The sequence below is a fragment of the Homo sapiens genome, chromosome 1, assembly GCF_000001405.40.
Source record: "Homo sapiens chromosome 1, GRCh38.p14 Primary Assembly".
NCBI lineage: Eukaryota > Metazoa > Chordata > Mammalia > Primates > Hominidae > Homo > Homo sapiens.
In genome coordinates, this window is record NC_000001.11 from 108254828 (window position 1) to 108274595 (window position 19768).

Genomic DNA, 19768 nt, shown 5'->3' on the forward strand with positions numbered 1-19768 from the left:
CTTCCTCAGGACTGCTGTGTCTATTCTGGTTTTTTGGCAGATCCATACAAATTTAGAGTTTTTTTTCTATTTCTGTGAAAAATGCTATTGGAATTTTGATAGGGATTGCCTTGAATTTGTAGATCACTTTAGGGCAGTATGAACATTTTAACAATATTTATTCTTCCATACCATAAACATGGGATTCCTTTCCATTTATTTGTACCTTCAATTTCTTTTAACAACATTTTATAATTTTCAGTGTATAGATCTTTGCCTCCTTGGTTAAACTTATTGCTGATTTTATTCTTTTTAATATTATCATAAATAGGATTTAAAATTTTTTATTGAATAGGTCATTATTGGTGTACAGAAATGCAACTGATTTTTATTAGTTGATTTTATATCCTACAACTTTACTGAATTCATTTATTAGTTCTAACAGGGTTTTCTTGCAGAGTCTTTAGAGGTTTCTACATATAGGATCATATTATCTGCAAACAGTGATAATTTCATTTCTTCCTTTCCAATTTGAATCTTTTAATTTCTTTTTCTTTCCTGGTTGCTTTTGCTAGTACTTCCAGTACCATGTTGAATGGAAGTGGTGAGAGTGGGAATCCTTGACTTGGACTGGATCTTACAGGAAAAGCTTTCAGTTTTTCTTGATTGAGTATCATGTTAACTGTGGGCTTCTCATAAGTGGCCTTTATGATGTTGAAGAAATTTTCATCTATGCCTTATTTGTTGAGAGTTTTTCTCATGAAAGGATGTTGAGGTTTGTCATCTGCTTTCTCTGGAGCTACTGAGGTGATCATGTGGTTTTCATCTTTCATTCTGTATCACATTGATTTGCATATACTACACCAAACTTACAGCCCAGGGATAAACTCCACTTGGTTAAGACATATATCCTTTTTGATGTGTTGTTGAATTTGGGTTGGTAGTATTTTACTGAGGAATTTTGCATCTATGTTCATCAGAGATATTAGCCTGTAGTTTTATTTTCTTCTGGTGTCTTTGGCTTTGGTATCAGAGTAATGCTAGCCTCATAAAATGATTTTGGAAGTATTCTCTCTACTTCTATCTTTGAGAAGAGCTTAAGAAGAAATGCATTAATTCTTTTTTTAATTTTTAGTAGAGTTCAACTGTGAAGCCATTTGGTCCTGAGTCCTGGTCCTGGCTTTTGTTTTTTTTGGGAGGTTTATAGTTACTGCTTCAATCTTTTTATTTGTTATTGGTCTGTTCAGGCTTTCTATTATTTTTTGATTGAATCTGGGTAGGTTGTATGTGTCTAGGAATTTATCTATTTTCTCTAGGTTATCCAATTTGTTGCTATATAGTTGCTCATAATAGTTCCTTATGATACTTTTTATTTCTGACACATCTGCTGAAATACCTCCACTTCATTTCTGATGCTATTTATTTGACTCTTCTCTTTTTTTCTTAGTCTAGTTAAAAGTTTGTCAATTTTGTTTATTTTTTCAAAAAATTAACTCAGTTTTGTCAATTTTTCTAGTTTTTCTATTCTTTGGTTGAGTTGCTCCTGCTTTGATTTTTATTATTTCCTTCCTTTTGATAACTTTATTTCATTCTTTTCCTAGTTATTTGAGGTATAATGTTAGGTTACTTATTAGAGACCTTCTTTCTTAATGTGGGTCTCTTCCTTCCTTCCTTCCTTTTTCTCTTTCTTTCTTTCTTTTTTCTCCCTTTCTCTTTCTCTCCCTCCCCTCCCCTCCCCTCCCCTCCCCTGCCCTCCCTCTCCTCCCCTCCCCTCCCTCCCTCTCTCCCTCCCTCCCTCCCTCCCTCCCTTCCTTCCTTCCTTTCCTTCCTTCCCAGGGTCTCACTCCATTGCACAGGCTGGAGTGCAGTGGCACAATCTTGGCTCACTGCAACTTCTACCTCCTTGGTTCAAGCAATTCTCCTGCCTCAGCCTCCCTGAGTAGCTGGGATTACACGTGCGTGCCACCATGCTGGGCTAATTTTTGTACATTTTGGTAGAGATGGGGTTTCACCATGTTGGTGAGGGTGGTCTTGAACTCCTGACCTCAAGTGATGTGCCTACCTTGGCCTCCCAAAGTGCTGGGATTACATGCATGAGCCACTGTGCCCAGCCAATGTAGGCATTTATCATTACAAACTTGCCTCTTAGAGCTGCTTTTGCTGTTTCCGGAGGTTCCATTATGTTTGTTTTCATTCTTGTTTGTCTCAAGATATTTTAAATTTCCCTTTTGATTTGTTCTTTGACCCATCAGCTGTTCAAAAGCATGTTATTTAATTTCCATGTATATGTGAAATTTTCCAGTTTTCCTTCTGTAGATTTTTAGTTTCTTACTATTGTGCTCAGAAAAAATACTTGATGTGATTTCAATCATCATAAATGTGTTCATGATCTACTTTTCATTCATATTTTAATTGATGTATAGTAGTTGTACATCTTTTGGGGGTATGTGTGATAATTTGATAAATGTGTATAATGTGTAATGACCAAATCAGGGTAATTAGGATATCTATCACCTCAAACTTTTATCTTTTCTTTGTGTTACACACACTCCAATTATTATAGCTATTTTTAAAAATATACAACAAATTATTGTTAACAGTAGTCTCCCTGCTACCCTATTGAATACTAGAACTTACTCCTTCAACCTAACTGTATTTTTGTACCCATTAACCAACTTCTACCCTCTCCCCACTCTCATTCCCAGCCTCTGGTACACACTAATTTTTATATATGGAGTGACACACGAATCTGATTTTTTACTTATTTTTATACACATATAGATGTCATACCCATTTGTTAAAAGAAAATCCTCTACCATTTGTTGAAAGTACATACATTTTTAAATATTTTTCTTTTTCATGTTTGTCAAATATCTTTTTATCCATATATGCATTGGTTTATTTTTGGACTGTGTATTTTGTTCCTATTTTATCAATCTTTTTTTCTTTTCTTTTCTTTTTTTTTTTTTTTTTTTTTTTGAGACAGAGCCTCATTCTGTCACTCAGGCTGGAGTGAAGTGGTGTGATCACTTCCTGGGTTCAAGTGATTCTTGTGCCTCAGCCTCCCAAGTAGTTGGAATTACAGGAGTGCATCACCATGCCCGGCTAAGTTTTCGTGCTTTTAGTAGAGACGAGGTTTCACCATGTTGCCCAGGCTGGTCTCGAACTCCTGAGTTCAGGCAATCCACCCACCTCGGCCTCCCAAAGTGCTAGGATTACAGGTGTGAGATCATATCCCAACACCATTCTGTTTTGATTACTATAACTTTATAATAGTTCTTTAAATCAGGTAGAGCTAGTCCTCCAAGTTTGTTCTTCATTTTAGTAGCATTTTGATTATGCTAGTTCATATTAATTTTGGAATCAGCTGATCACTTTCTACCAAAGATGCTCGCTGAGATTTTGAGTGGAATTGCATTGAATTTATAGATCAGATTGGGGAAAAGTAACACCTCAACAATATTAAGTCTCTTGACCCATGAACAAAGAATTTCTCTCTAGTTTTTAGGTATTCATTATGTTCTCTGTGAAACATTTTATAATTTGCAGTCAGATTTATCCCTATGCATTTTATACAGTTGACACTATTGTAAGTGGTATTGCTTTTTACATTTCAATTGTGCATTGGAATTACATAAAATAGAATTGATTTTTGTATATTGACGTTGTATCCTGCTAGAAACAAATGCTTTTCAGACTGAAGTTACATTTGGCAGTGACAATATCTTTCGGGGGGTGGGGGTCCTGCGTATTTACCAGGTGAAAAGAATCTTTTTCATTTTACTTGGAGCTTTATCATCAGCCCAAGGAAGAGGAACGTCCCAACCTATATTCAGTTTTCAGGCTGGGCAGAGTGTGTACCTTGTGGACCAATGCATGTGAAATGTTCTGTATGTTCATCAATAGGTTTTCCTTAAGAGTGCTCATGCAGTTGATGAGGCTTCCCATGTGCGTGTCTGTTTATCTGCAATGTTATCCCTTATTTTAAAATTTAGTATTCAATAATGTATCCCAGCATTATGTAGTATCAGAGACTTTGGGATGGTCTTCAATGATATATCTATCAAGTTATCATGAGTTTGTACCTGATCCTGACTAGTCTTATTTCTGATGTGATCTATTATAAAATGAGACCAAAAGCTTTAAAATAACTAATAATGTTGGGCTGAGGGGATTTCTTTGTGGGATACTCAGCCTTAGGAGACAGTAGATCCTATTACACATCTGAAGTAGGAGTCCACTCACTTCAGTATGTGAGCATCAGGACCCTGATTCTGCAGTAGTATCTGCAGTCCCTTGCACTATCAGCTTCATTCCCTCAAGGGAGAATGAATGGCCTTCAGTTTGTTATGTCACAATTGACACGTGTAGCACATTTGAGTATCTCTTTAGTTATTGACCTAGGTTTACATCCAATCATGTTAAGCTTGCTCACCTGGGTGATTCACAAGGTCACATTCCCAGTGGGTCAGTTGACTGTCACAAAAAAACAAAAGCATTCATTTGTCATTATGTAAAACATGGCTCACAAACAGCTTTAAAGGTGTTTTCTCAAATGTTTATCTATAAAGTCTAGTTACTCAAATGAATTTATCTTCTACTCCAGTTTTTTATTTCTCCATGTTCTGCCTCTACGACAGAACCCAAGGGCCAGTATAAACATAGATTTAATTCTGCTGATTTATAACCAATCAACAGTTTCATTATTACATATGATTCTGTACACTGGGTTGTCAGCCTTCTTCCTTCTTTTACCTGTTCCTATTGGATGTTAAGATGATATGGGCTGAAGGTGATGGCTCAAGCTTGTGATTCCAGCACTTTGGGAGGCTGAGGCAGGAGGATCACTGGAGTCTGGGAGTTTGAGATGAGCCTGGACAACACAGTGAGACCTCATCTTCTTTTTTAAAAAAGATGATGTAATGTTATTTGCCACTTTTATTAACATCCCTGGACTACAGTTCTACCATTTCTTTTTTTTGAAAGCATCTCTTATTATCATAAGATGTACTTAAATCTTCATATTTGTGAGCATCATTAATATTATTAATAGATAAAATCTACAATGGTCAATTCTTTGGTTAGGTCAGAGACTAAAATCTGAAAATTAGAAATTCACTATTTCTTTCAGGCGTGTGTGTGCTGTTGTGCTAATCCCTCACCTCTCTCAGAAAAGTCATTGTAGGCCCAAGCCAATAAGTAAACAGTCTGTGAAAGAATGAATGCAAATCCTAGAATAAGTATGTAGTGCCCACTGAGTGGAGGAAAATTTTGCAAAAGTTGTTTTTCTACAGTTGTGCAACTTTCCTCTGAGCCAGCTCATCTGCTGCTTCAAAGGCCCCAAATAATTTTTTTCATCATCTTATGGCCATTGTCATAAACTCCATTCTGCCCCTGCCTATGTCACCTACCATGCAATCTGTTTCACTGCATGGCCTTAGAGGCAGAGACATTTTTCCAGCTTTAAGTGCATTAAGGTTCTCCTGTTTCTGCAAGACAATGGAAGTTAGTGGTTCTCTCTGTTTTTTGGTATTTAAGTCCATCATCAGGGTCAGTTGGGAAATATGTTTTCTCCAGAAGCTGTTAGGTGCTGTTCAGTGCAATAATTTTTCAGTTCTTACACTATAATTGATCCCATCTATGCATTATAGTTCCTAAAATCACTTTCTGAGAAGGCCCTTGATTACTTTTTTAAAATAGCCCAGCCAGCAGCATTATTATATCTTTCCTAGTTCTTAGAAGGAACATCCTCATGCTCCTTCTGGTGATGTTCCTACTAACAACATGTAATCTGTGAAATGGAACAGAGGGAGGAGACCCATGCCAAGATTCTGTGACACTCAGCTCTGACAGTTGGCAGGCAGACACTCTCTGCAGAAGATTCTCCTGAGGCTGTTTGACCAGAATCCTTGGGAGGTTGAAAGCCCAGTCTTGACAGAACCACCATTCACAAGGCCAGGTGTGTGGCTCACGCTGTAATCCCAGCACTGTGGGAGGCCAAGGAGGGAAGAATGCCTGAGCCCAGGAGGTAAGACCAGCCTGGGGAACGTGGCAAGACATCATCTCGAAAAAAAAGAAAATAGAAAAAGAAAAAAACCCCACCATTTATTATCATCTCCCATTTTATCAGAATAAGCCTGTGGGTGTTGGCTGTCAATTTTCTCACTTACAGGCAACCCAAGCTGACCTGGGCACAGAAATCTTAAGCTCTTTTCAGGAAAGAATGCTCTACTCATCCTCTGTATCACTAGTTACGCAGTGTAACCAGCACAGAGCTTTACTCACAAGGGCTCAGGAAATGCATTTGCTGAGCTCAACAAATTGACAATCCAACTTATTTTGATAAGCAGAGATTTTGTAGTTTAGAGAACTGAATAGGGTAAGCAGAGGAACAAAACAGAATGTTATTTTATTTTGTGTCTAAGAGTACAAAAATCATAATCACCAACCTCTTGGGAATCCCAAGGCAGAATTTTAGTCCCAGACCCCCCAACATCCTCACTACATACATGGAAGTTGCTTTACTCCTTTCTACCTTAGTTATTTGACCTATAATTAGAGGATAAAATACAACATTCTAAAATCCTGGTAATATGGCCGATATATAATTTTATTTTTGATGTGGGTGAGAGTCTTGAAGTCTGGAAAGCATTTAACTTATTAAAAGACAGATCATCACTGATCATTATGGCAAGGACAAATTTAGAAGACTTATTAAACTTACCTCGGCGGGGAGGGGCCAAGACTGCCGACTAGAAGCAGCTCTGGTCTGCAGCTGCCAGCGAGAGGAACGAGGAATGTGGGTGATTTCTGCATTTCCAACTGAGATACCCAGTTCATCTCACTGGGACTGACTAGATGGTCGGCATGACCCACAGAGAGCGAGAAGAAGCAGGGTATTGCTTCACCCAGGAACTGCACAGGGCAGGGGGACCTCCCTCCCCAGCCAAGGGAAGTGGTGAGGGACAGTGCTACCCACCAAGGGTACTAAGCTTTTCCCACAGATTTTTGCAATCCACAGATCAGCAGATCCCCTCGGGAGCCTACAACCACCAGTGCCCTGGGTCTCAAATACAAAACTGGGCAGACCAATGACAGCTGCTCCCGTCGGCGGCTGTTTGGGCAGGCACTGAGCTGCAGGAATTTTTACATACTCCGGCAGCACCTGGAACTCCAGTGAGGCAGGAGAAATGTCCACTTCTGTGGAAAGGGGGCTGTAGCCAGGGAGCCAAGTGGTCTCGCTCAGAGGGTCCCACTCCCACGGAAACCCCGCAAGCTAAGAACCACTGGCTTGAAATCCCCGCTGCCGGCACAGCAGTCTGGAGTCCGCCTGGGACAACTCAGTTCCCAGGGGGAGGGGCGACCGTCATTACTGAGGCTTTAGTTGGAGGTTTTCCCCTGACAGTGCTAAGGAGACTAGGAGGTTTGGACTGGGTGGAATTCCCCACAACGCAGCAAAGTGGCTGTTGCAGATCGTGGCCAGACTGCTTCCTAGGTGGGACCCGAAGCCATCCCTCCTCACCTGGAGGGCATCCCTGCAGGAATTCCAGTAGCTACAGTCAGGGGCTTACAGACAAGAACTCTAATCTCCCTGGGACAGAGCACCTCGGGGGAGCGGCGGCCATGGTCCGAGGTTCAGCAGACTTAATCTTTCCTGCCTGCTGGCTCTGAAGAGACCAGCTGATCCCAAGGAGGGTTATTCCTCCAATACAGTGCACCAGCTCTGCTAAGGGACAGTCAGTCTGCCTCCGTAAGGAGGTCCCCCTTCCAGTCCCGTGCTTCTTGACTGGGTGAGACTTCCCATCAGGGGTCGCCAGACACCTCATGCAGGAGAGTTCCGGCTGACATCAATCAGGTTGATGCCACTGTGGGAAGAAGCTTCTGGAGGAAGGAGCAAGCAGCAATCTTTGCTGTTCTGCAAACTCCACTGGTGATACCCAGGCGAACAGGGTCTGGAGTGGACCCCCAGCAAGCCGCAGCAGACCTGCAGAAGAGAGGCCTGACTGTTAGAAGAAAAACCAACAGAAAGTAACAACAACAACAACATCAACACAAAAGACCCCACAAAAACCACATCCAAAGGTCAACAGCTTCAAAGATCACAGGTAGACAAAACCATGAAGATGAGGAAAAACCAATGCGAAAACACTGAAAATTTCAAAAGCCAGAATGCCTCTTTTGTTCCAAACGATCTCAACACTTCTCCAGTAAGGGCACAGAACAGGGCTGAAGCTGAGACTGATGAACTGACAGAAGCAGGTTTCTGAAAGTGGGTAATAATGAATTTCACTGAGCCAAAGGATTATGTTCTAACCCAACGCAAGAAGCTAAGAACCATGATAAAAGATTACAGGAGGTATTAGCTAAAATAACCAGTTTAGAAAGGAACATAAATGACCTGATGAAGCTGAAAAACACAGCACAAGAACTTTATGATGCAAACACAAGCATCTGTAGCCAAAACAACCAAGTGGAAGAGAAGATATCAGACCTTGAAGACTATCTTGCTGAAATAAGGCAGGCAGACAAAATTAGAGAAAAAAGAACGAAAAGGAACAAACAAAACCTATGAGAACTATGGGAGTATGTAAAAAGATGGAACCTATGACTGATTGGAGTACCTGAAAGAGTTGGGGAGAATGGAACCGAGTTGGAAAACGCACTTCAGTATATGATCCAGGAGAACTTCCCCAACCTAACAAGACAAGCCAATATTCAAATCAGGGAAATCCAGAGAACCCCAGTAAGATACTCCACAAAAAGATCTACCCCAAGGCACATAATCATCAGGTTCTCCAAGGTTGAAATGAAGGAAAAAATGTTAACGGCAGCCAGAAAGAAAGGCCAGGTCACGTACAAAGGGAAGCCCATCAGACTAACAGCGGACCTCTCAGCAGAAACTCTACCAGCCAGACAAGATTGGGGTCCAATATTCAAGATTCTTAAAGAAAAGAAATGCCAACCCAGAATTTCATATCAGACCAAACAAATCTTCATAAGCAAAGGAGAAATAAAATCTTTTTCAGACAAGAAAATGCTGAGGGATTTCATCACCACCAGGCCTGCCTTGCAAGAGCTCCTGAAGGAAGTACTAAACATGGATAGCAAAATCACACACAAAAACACACTGAAGTACACAGATCAGTGACATTATGAAACAACTACATTAACAAGTCTGCAAAATTAACCAGCCAGTATCATGATGACAGGTTCAAATTCACACATAACAATATTAACCTTAAGTGTAAATGAGCTAAATGCCCCCAATTAAAAGACACAGAATGGCAAGTTGGATACAAAGACAAGACTCATCGGTATGCTGTATTCAAGAGACATATCTCATGTGCAAAGATGAACACAGACTCAAAGTTAAGGGATGGAGGAAAATTTACCAAGCAAATGGAAAGCAGAAAAAAAAAACAGGGGTTGCAATCCTAGTTTCTGACAGAAAAAACTTTAAACCAACAAAGGTCAAAAAAGACAAAGAAGGGCATTACATAATGGTAAATGGATCTATTCAACAGGAAGAGCTAACTATCCTAAATATACATGCACCCAATACAGGAGCACCCAGATTCATAAAACAAGTTCTTAAAGACCTACAAAGAGACTTAGACCCCCACACAATAATAGTGGGAAACTTTAATACCCCACTGTCAATATTACACAGATCATTGAGACAGAACATTTACAAATATATTCAAGACTTGAACTCAGCTCTAGACCAAGTGGACCTGATAGATATCTACAGAACTCTCCACCCAAAACAACAGAATATACATTTTTTTTGGTGTCACATGGCACTTAATCGAAAATTGATCACATAATTGGAAGTAAAACACTCCTCATCAAATGCAAAAAGAACTGAAATAATAACAAACAGTCTCTAAGACCACAGTGCAATCAAATTAGAACTCAAGATTAAGAAGCCCACTCAAAACCACACGACTACATGGAAATTGAACAATATGCTCCTGAATGACTCCTGGGTATATAATGAAATTAAGCCAGAAATCAGGAAGTTCTTTGAAACCAATGGGAACAAAGAGACAACGTACCAGAACCTCTGGGGTGCAGCAAAAGCAGTGTTAAGAGAGACATTTATAGCACTAAATGCCCACATCAAAAAGCTAGAAAGATCTCAAATTGACAGCCTAACAGTACAACTAAAAGAACTAGAGAACCAAGAGCAAACAAACCGCAGAGCTAGCAGAAGACAAGAAATAATGAAGCTCGGATCTAATTAAACTAAAGAGCTTCTGCACAGCAAAAGAAACTACCGTCAGAGTGAACAGGCAACCTCCAAAATGGGAGAAAATTTTTGCAACCTACTCATCTGACAAAGGGCTAATATCCAGAATCCACAATGAACTCAAACAAATTTACAAGAAAAAAACAAACAACACTGTCAAAAAGTGGGCGAAGGACATGAACAGACACTTCTCAAAAGAAGACATTTATGCAGCCAAAAAACACATGAAAAAATGCTCACCATCACTGGCCATCAGAGAAGTTCAATCAAAACCACAATGAGATACCATCTCACACCAGTTAGAATGGCAATCATTAAAAAGTCAGGAAACAACAGGTGTTGGAGAGGATGTGGAGAAATAGGAACACTTTTACACTGTTGGTGGGACTGTAAACTAGTTCAACCCTTGTGGAAGTCAGTGTGGCGATTCCTCAGGGATCTAGAACTAGAAATACCATTTGACCCAGCCATGCCATTACTGGGTATATACCCAAAGGACTATAAATCATGCTGCTATAAAGACGCTTGCACACATATGTTTACTGCGGCACTATTCACAATAGCAAAGACTTGGAACCAACCCAAATGTCCAACAATGATAGACTGGATTAAGAAAATGTGGCAGATATACACCATGGAATACTATGCAGCCATAAAAAAGGATGAGTTCATGTCCTTTGTAGGGACATGGATGAAATTGGAAATCATCATTCTCAGTAAACTATCACAAGAACAAAAAACCAAACATTGCATATTCTCACTCATAGGTGGGAATTGAACAATTAGAACACATGGACACAGGAAGGGGAACATCACACTCTGGGGACTGTTGTGGGGTGGGGGAAGGGGGGAGGGATAGTTTTAGCAGATATACCTAATGCTAAATGACGAGTTAATGGGTGCAGCACACCAGCATGGCACATGTATACATATGTAACTAACCTGCACATTGTGCACATGTACCCTCAAACTTAAAGTATAATAATAATTTAAAAAAAAAAGAAAAGAAATAATGAAGCTCAAAGTGAAACTGAAGGAGATAGAAACATGAAAAACCCTTCAAAAAATCAACAAATCTAGGAGCTGGTTTTTTGGAAAAAAAAAAAAAGGCAATAAAATAGACCACTAGCAAGACTAATAAAGATGAAAAGAGAGAAAATTCAAATAAACACAATCAGAAATGATATGGGGGATTCATGTACCTCAGCCTCCCAAGTAGCTGTGACTACAGGCATGCACTACCATGCCTGGCTAATTTTTTACCTTGTTGACCAGACTGGTCTTGAACTCCTGACCTCAAGTGATCTGCCTGCCCAGCCTCCCAAATTGCTGGGACTACATGTGTGAGCCACCATACCTGGCCTGTTTCATTAGTTTCTACTCCTATCTTTACTATTTCATCCTCCTTTCTTTCTGTTTATTTTCCTGTTTAGTTTCCTGGGTTTGAAGTTTAGGTCATGGGTTGGCAAACTTTGGCCTGAGGGCCAAATCTGACCTGCCACCTATTTCTGTAAATTGAATTTAATTGTAACACAGCCACTTCCATTTGTTTTTGTATTGTCTATGGCTACAAGGGCAGAGTTGAGTAACTGCGAGAGATCACATGGCCTGCGGAGCCTAAAATATTTATTATCTGGACAGTAACAGAAAAAGGTTGCCAATCCCTGTCTTAAATAATTGACTTTTTTTTTCTTTTCTAGTATATTAATTTAAAGTTTTAATTTCCCTCTAAGTTCTGCTTTCCCTACACTCAATAAATTTTGATATGTAATGTTTTCATTATTGTTTATTTCAAAATGTCCAGTTTCCATTGTGATTTCTTCTTCACCCATCAGTTATGTAGAAATATATTGCTGAATTTACAAACATTTGGGGATTTTTCCAATTACCTTCCTGACGGTGAACTCCTGTTTTAATTGCACTGCCATCAGAATGTGCTTTGTATGATTTCTGTTCTTTCAAATAAATGGATTTTGAAGTTGTATTTTGTGTTCTATATATGTGTTCTATAAGATCAATTAGTTAAATGTGTTATTCAAATGTTTTAGATTCCTATTAATTTTTTTGTCTGCTTGTCTTACTGGCTACTGAAAAAGGTATGTTTAAATCTCTAACCATGATTGTGGATTTCCCTATTACTCCTCTACGTTTGCCACTTTAGCATTATGTATTTTGAAGCTATATTATTATGTGTACATAAATTTAGGATTGACCCTTTTATTATTATAAGATGTCCTTCCTTATTGCTAGTAATAAGGAAGAAAGTCACTGCTTCAAGTTATGGGAGAACAAACAATGGGAGAGCAAACAATGCAAGAAAAACAAAGAGAGAGAAGAAAAGTACATTGACATAAGAACTTCATTCACCCTGTTTTTTTTTCTTAGATATTTAACAAATTTCAGCTTAGGTGAATAGGGTCCAAGTTACAGGACAGATGGTAAATATTTTAGAAAGAAAACAAAGATGTTATTAAACTGAGGAGACAGCAAATTTCATAGCCTCTCCTATGAAGTATTTTTGCCCAGATTTTTTTACTAGAATCTGACCATGTCTTTAGAACTGTAGAAAATACAGGTGATGGAGGAACAAGTTAAACAATACCATTAAGAAACAATCAAACAAATCATGATTGTGGAATATTCTACAAGACAGTTGAGCTGGGTTCTTCAAAAAGTCATTGTTGTGGAAAAAACAGTGTTGGTGGTGGACTGTTACTAGTCTTGATTAAGAGAATAAACATAGTAAGGGCAATGGGTAAATTTATTTGGATATTAGTTTGAAAAAATCTGTAAATGGCATTTTGGGGACAATTGGGAAAATTTGAATATAGAATAAGTATTGATGGTATAGAGGTTATTTGTTTGTTTGTTTATTTATTTATTTATTTATTTTTAAAGAGACAGGGCTTTGCTATGTTGCCCAGGCTGGCTTCAAACTCTGGAGCTCAAGTGATCCTCCTGCCTTAGCATCTCAAGTAATAGAGAATTATTTTTAAATTTCTAAAATATAATTATGGCATTGTGGTTATGTAAGCTAATCTCCTTGTTTTTAGGATATGTCCAAGTACTTTATGGTTAAGTGTCATCATATCTGTAACTTACTTTCAAATGGCTCAGATAGACACACACACATTTATATATATGTTTAAGTAGAATGGAGAGAGACAAAATGTAATTATGGCAAAATGTTAAATTTTATAGGTGGTGAATATATAAATGTTCATTGTGCCATCCTTTTTAGAGTTTACAGTTTTCATAATAAGTTGGGAGAAAATCAATGGGCAAAGTAAGTTCAACATTAGAAAAAAGTAAGAAAGTTTCCAATTTAATTACAAAACTATAAAAACTGGAGGGGATGTTACTAGTTTCTGATTAAAAAAACAAAAAGACGCATATAGCAATAGAACATTTTCCAAGAAATTCCATGGCAAGTAAATATTTTCTAAATTTTCAAGGGATCTTCTCTACATTTTAAAGGAGTTATTTAATTTCTTGTAGGGGTGGGTGGGAGGGGGGAACAGAATGTTTAGACTAAAACAGTGAAAGACTTACTTTTCAATTGTCTATTGATTTCACTCTATTTAGCTACATCAACTTTGGGAATATAATATAAAGATTAGAGAGAAAAATGCTAGCAAAATATAAAGATTAGAAAGAAAAATACTAGCTATTGTAATTTGAGAATTTAAGGTAGCCAGGTACTGTGCAATGTGCCAAACACATGGGGTTCGGGTGAGCAAACAGAGACCCTGCTGTTATAGAATTGATAGTCTAGTAGGGAAGACAGAAATTAATTAAACATTTATACAAATATATAGTTATAAACTGCGATTATAGCTACAGAGGAAAAATAGGGTTCTCTGAGGGCCATTAATAGGGGAAATGAGGAAGTTCTGGAAAGAGTTTCTTAAAAAATATATGAACAGAGAAAAATACTGAACTGAGAGCTGAAGACTGAGGTGGAGTTAAATGAGCAAAGAACAGGGAATGACTTTCATGCAAAGGGGAAAGCATGTGTAATGAGCCTGAAGAAGGAAGAAGAATGGGACACTTTGAGAAACTGAAAAGTAGCTTGTATGGCTGGAGTACAGAAAGCAAGAGTGGTACAGGTGAGTTGGGAGGAGGAAACAGAGGTCAGATGATACTGTCTTTAAGCATAATGGGAAATTACTGAAGAAGGAAAGTATCAGATTTGCATTGTTGGAAGTTTACTCTGGTTAAAGGATAGAGAAAAAAATGGAAAGAGGAGGGTAATCACAACAGTCTAGGCAAGAGATGATGGTAGTTTGGAGACAGAAGGTGTGGCAGTGGACATGAAGATAAGTGGATGGATTTGAGAGAAACTTGGAGAGTGAAACTGGTAGGTGATGGTTTAGATGTGTAAGATGAAGGAGAGGGAAATGTCATGGATACATTCCAGGTTTTCAGTTTCAGAAGCTATATGAATGGTGCAGCCATTCCCTGAAAAGTGAAACATGGAATGAGAAACATATTTTTTTTTGTTTCTGAATTTGAGATGTTCTTAAGACATGAGAGGTTGAATGAAGGTATCTGTGTATGCCTAGAGAATTTTTAAAATTGTAACTCCACAATAATTATAAGTAGATTTCACCATTAGTGGACTGACTTTGTTCCTAAAAGGAATGAAAATTAAATAGTGATGATCATCACATAGTTCCATGAGAGCCTCCGACTATAAAGTGTAATTAACCAGAGATTTTCCCTTGGGGATCCTTGTGAAGTAATTTAATTAATTTTATTTTATTATCTGTTTTAGCAAGTTTTAGCTTACTATTTAAAAGAAAGCTAAAATATCAAATTAATTGGACTTTTCCCTTTCCTTGAATTCTCTAGCCATGATATGAGTCCCACAGCTAAATATGATCAGCTTATTTTCTTAAATTTATAAAAGGAGTGGAGTGACAGGATTTTCCAGAGGCATGACTCCATATTTCATAAAGTTTCTTACTTCAGTGTGTTGTAAACTGTGTGGTTTATGAATCAGCAAAACCGCTCTTGGGGAATATTTTACAAACGAAATCTTGAGGCCGGGCATGGTGGCTCACGCCTGTAATCTCGGCACTTTGGAAGGCTGAGGTGGGCGGATTACCTGAGGTCGGGAGTTCAAGACCAGCCTGACCAACATGGAGAAACCCCATCTCTACTAAAAATACAAAATTAGCCAGGCATGGTGGCACACGCCTGTAATCTCAGCTACTCAGGAGGCTGAGGCAGGAGAATCGCTTGAACCCAGGAGGCAGAGGTTGCGGTGAGCCGAGATTGTGCCACTGCACTCCAGCCTGGGCAACCAGAGTGAAACTCCGTCTCAAAAATAAAAAGCAGAAATGAAATCTTGAACCGTCATTATCTGGACACTTGTTTATAAACATGAAAATGTCTTGGCTTTTTCCTTAATTTGCAAAAGGTCTGTATGAAAAGATGCTATATCCATTTTCCCAAGAGGTAAACTTACAAATTAAATATTGAATTTTAAGTAAACAAGAAACAGTTTATTAATTTATTGGTGAATTAAAATCTTCAACATTCATAAAATCTATTTATATTTCTCCAAATTTTAATGAACAGTCATAGAAATTTGCATTTAAGTGGATTAGAATGCAATTTATAATACAGAATATAACCTAAGTATATAATTAACCTAGTATTTCATATTAAACAGTTGGAATATTTTGAAGTTTTCCTGAATTCTCTACTTTGTATTTTAAAAAGCTAACATTTTAGTGCTTTATGTGCATTTTAAATTTATTTTTATTTTTTCACCTCTCCTTGCCATATGCGAACATTTAAAATGTTTGAAAGCACTAATAGAAAACTCACGCATTTAAAACTATAATTCATAGCAAAACAGTCAAGTTTGGGCTCCTTTTCTTTCTCTAAAATAGACAAAACAAAATAGAAAGTCCTAAACAGAATTTCATGGCATCAGAATACCTCAGTCTCCTACCAGTGTTGTCAATGGAATAATGGTGACCTCTTATTCCTTTTCTGAGCACTCTTATTTAGAGATACAGACATTTTTAGCTACGCTTGCTTTTTTTTTTAATATTTAAACATTACACGAAATCACCAACGTGACCAAAGTAATTCAGAAAAATGTGTGAGCTCTTATACTTAAATCTGTGTTAAAAAAGACTGAGTTTTTCTTTTTTTCTCTATGTACTTTATACTTTACTTTCAAGCTCCGATCTACTAGAACAAAGGCTGACTGGAACTTCCCTTTACAGTCTTAAACTTACATGAAGGATGAATAGTATTCTCATCCATCCCTACTTTTTTTGCCTCTATCTTTTCAATTTATGTTGAAAGAGACTAGGCCAAAGATATTTTAAGATGTCTATGTATAGCTACATTATAAAGATTAGATGGGTTCTAAAATTGTGATTTAATAAATGTAACTATAATTATATAATTTATAATATACCAAACAACTAGTAATACATTAGATCAGTCCATTTTTCCAGTTTTTCAGGACACAGATATTTCTGCCATTTTATAAATTAAAGATTTTGAGTTACTTTAATATTTGGGGTTGTAACATACTTCTCAAGGTTATTAAAATGTAGTTAAAATCTGCTCTCACTGTAAAGTGTTAAAATTCAGAAGAATATTTGATACCATTTTTTCCCTCTTGTTAAATGCCATGTTTGAATTTGCTGTGAAATTAGAGAAATTTAATTTTCTCAGGTTGGGATAGGGTACTTAATAAATGATTAATGATGGGATTAAGTTGTTAAATTTTCTAAAAATTGAAATGAATATAAATGCACAATTAACATAAATTTGAGTAACCAAAGTCAATTTTTAGTTAGATTCTCCCTTTTTTTCTTAATAGGATTACTAGAAAGATTTGAAACTTAAATATAATCAACTCCTAAAGTTCACATAAATGTGACTAATATAAAGCACATCTTGATAAATTAGTATGTGTTATCATGCCTCATAATTAACAAGGAATTAGAAATTAAATTTGTTTATACGAACTTCTAAAATATAGAGGAAAAATAAACGGCAACTGGATCCCTTAATAGCCCTATAGATAATAAAAATCAGAGATTGATTTAAAATAAATGCATACCAAAAAATACTTTGAATGCTTCAGATCTACTTTAAAGTATTTTGCTATTTATTTTTTCTCTTTATTTTAGAACAAAATTTATGAATAGAAATGTGGCATATAAATTGGAACTGTTATGATGTGTGTTTCATATTTCTGGATTTGGAGACATGTTCTAATTTTAATCTGTATGTATCTTCCCTTTAGTTATTATTTATTTTTATTTTTCTTTTATTAATAGAGATAGAAGTATTTCTGCACCCAATCCAATTAACTGGAAAAAGGTCATATAAGAACATGAAAAGTCTAATCCCAGTATGGCCAAAATAGGTTTGCCAACATGGGCTAGGCCGGTAAGGAGGGAAGAGACAGGGACAGGGCAGAGGCTCCTCAGGAGGCCTTCCCTCTTTAGACCTCTTTTGGGGGTCGCCGGGGTCCTGACCCCCAGGTGCAGGTCGTCCTGGGAGGAAGGGTGGCACCAGAGTACTGGATGCTGGCATAAGAGCGAGTCTGAGCAGCTCACTCCATGCCACATCTCCCGCAGCAGTGACTTCCGGCAGGAACTGAGTCTGTACCGCGAGAATCTTAAACACCCGCGAGTGCCCTTTCAAGCCTGCTGGGGAATGCGCTCCCTTTCCCCAAACGTCCCTTGGTTCCCCCGTCGACCTACCCGTCCGAGGGTCCTGGGTACCCAACGCCGCCACGTCTGGCACCTCAACTCACGTCTGGCACCTCAACTCACATCTGGCGTCTCAACTGTCGCGTGGCGCCTCGGCCAGAGGTCCCACAAGGTGGCGCAGCCTTTCCGTGGCGCCCAAGAGCCCGCAGGCGCGGGTGGCTTGGCCCGCGTGGGCTCCGAACTGCGGCGGCTCCGCTAGACAGTTGCAGAAGCTGGCGGACGGCCGGGACCCCCTGCCTTGCGCAGCCAGGCGTCGAGGAGGCGGCGGCGAGTGCTGCGGTGCTGGCTGGGTGGCCGAGTGGTCCCCGCAGCCTCTGGACCCAGCCATGCTGCTCTGGATGCAGGGCTTCGTGCTGGAGGCGGTGGCCTGCCAGGATAACGATGACTACTTACGCTACGGGATCCTCTTCGAAGACCTGGATTGCAATGGGGACGGCGTGGTGGACATCATTGAGCTCCAGGAGGGGCTGAGAAACTGGAGCTCCGCGTTTGACCCCAACTCCGAGGAGGTGAGACCGGAAGGTGGCACAGGCAGCCTGGGGAGACGTTGGGCAGAGGGAGAAGCAAACCCTGCCCTTTCCAGAGCTGCTTTCAAAGGCCTTTGGAGTAAGGGTGGGGTTCTCCTCTGTGAGCCTCGTCACGCAGAATAATGCGACCCAACGAAACATGTTCTCAATCTTCTTAAAATAGCCACTTTCCGGCCGGGCGCGGTGTCTCACGCCTGTAATCTCAGCACTTTGGGAGGCCCAGGCGGGTGGATCGCCTGAGGTCAGGCATTCGAGACCAGCCTGGCCAACATGGTGAAACCCCCGTCTCTACTAAACAAATACAAAAATTAGCCGAGCGTGGTGGCGCGCGCCTGTAATCCCAGCTACTCCGGAGGCTGAGGCAGGAAAATCGCTTGAACCCGGAAGGCGGAAGTTGCAGTGAGCCGAGATAGCACCATTGCGCTCCAGCCCAGGCGACAGAGCGAGATTCCATCTCAAAAAAAAAAAAAAAAAAAAAAAAAGCCACTTTCCGTAGTGACAAAGACCTTCAGGGGGCTTTTGGGGAGATGCTGTTTCTGGTGACTCGTTCAAAATTTATGGAACCAGCACACAACGTCAGGCGCCATGTTAGCCTTTGTGCAGAAGTAAAGGAACATCTCTTTTCTTAGGGGTTTCTCTGCCCAGGGCAGTGTGCTTCAGGGTCGTCTCCAAACGACAGGCACAGATAAGAGCCCCAGAGCTATTCTCTTTCTGACATCCACACCAAGGTCTAGGGGAAGTCAGACTTTGATCCATGGGTGTACACTTCAGCTGATTGTTTTAGAACCTCATCTAAATTAGGAATACCTTCCTTCTCTAGGCCAGTCTTGACTTGATTATTTTTAAACTATTTAGATGGAAGTTTCAGAATATCAAGAGAAAAAAATTATTTTATTTATTTTCTGTCAATGCTTAGCAGTCTTCAGATATAACTCCTATTGAATTTTAGGAGTTAGGTCTGAAGACTGTAAAGCTCTTTATTGGTGAGATTTTTTTTTTTTTGGTTGTTGCTAGAAGTCCAAACCATCTGGACTCCTCTTTAGTGATGCTGGGCATCTTTACATGTGCTTAGTAGCCATTTGTATAACTTCTTTGGAGAAATGTCCAAGTTCTTTGTTCATTTTCAAATTAGGTTTTTTTTTGTTGTTGATTTTTAGGAGTTTTCTGTATAGTTTGTATATGAACCCCTTATTATATATATGATTTGCAAATGTTTACTTCGGTTTTATGAGTCTCCTTTTTACTTTTGATGCACA

At 39.0% G+C, this 19768-nt stretch overlaps 1 protein-coding gene and 1 pseudogene across 6 annotated transcripts in view, besides 3 other annotated features; one reads left to right on the plus strand and one right to left on the minus strand.

Annotated features, from left to right (window-relative positions):
- NBPF4 (NBPF member 4) overlaps positions 1–18086 on the minus strand; it is a 50450-nt gene extending 32364 nt beyond the window's left edge. For 2 of the 6 annotated variants that reach the window (XM_047446899.1, XM_047446895.1), the window contains exons 1-3: positions 17977–18086; positions 6704–7963; positions 4415–4455 (exon numbers count right to left, since the gene is read on the minus strand). The gene's annotated coding sequence lies outside the window, so the exon portion shown is untranslated. Of the gene's footprint in view, positions 1–4414; positions 4456–5390; positions 5469–6703; positions 7964–17976 lie in introns of all 6 variants that reach the window. The other 4 variants (XM_047446900.1, XM_047446897.1, XM_047446896.1 and 1 more) reach the window with 3 other exon arrangements.
- Positions 7258–7776: an enhancer, noted in NCBI's record as "H3K27ac-H3K4me1 hESC enhancer chr1:108804707-108805225 (GRCh37/hg19 assembly coordinates)". NCBI's record gives its function as "activates a minimal SCP1, AML or CMV promoter by ChIP-STARR-seq in primed H9 embryonic stem cells {active_cell/tissue: H9 hESC(primed)}" and the evidence as "EXISTENCE:reporter gene assay evidence [ECO:0000049][PMID:30033119]".
- Positions 17702–18203: an enhancer, noted in NCBI's record as "H3K27ac hESC enhancer chr1:108815151-108815652 (GRCh37/hg19 assembly coordinates)". NCBI's record gives its function as "activates a minimal SCP1, AML or CMV promoter by ChIP-STARR-seq in primed H9 embryonic stem cells {active_cell/tissue: H9 hESC(primed)}" and the evidence as "EXISTENCE:reporter gene assay evidence [ECO:0000049][PMID:30033119]".
- Positions 18204–18703: an enhancer, noted in NCBI's record as "H3K27ac hESC enhancer chr1:108815653-108816152 (GRCh37/hg19 assembly coordinates)". NCBI's record gives its function as "activates a minimal SCP1, AML or CMV promoter by ChIP-STARR-seq in primed H9 embryonic stem cells {active_cell/tissue: H9 hESC(primed)}" and the evidence as "EXISTENCE:reporter gene assay evidence [ECO:0000049][PMID:30033119]".
- Positions 18312–19768, plus strand: part of SLC25A24P1 (SLC25A24 pseudogene 1) — a 64715-nt pseudogene continuing 63258 nt past the window's right edge.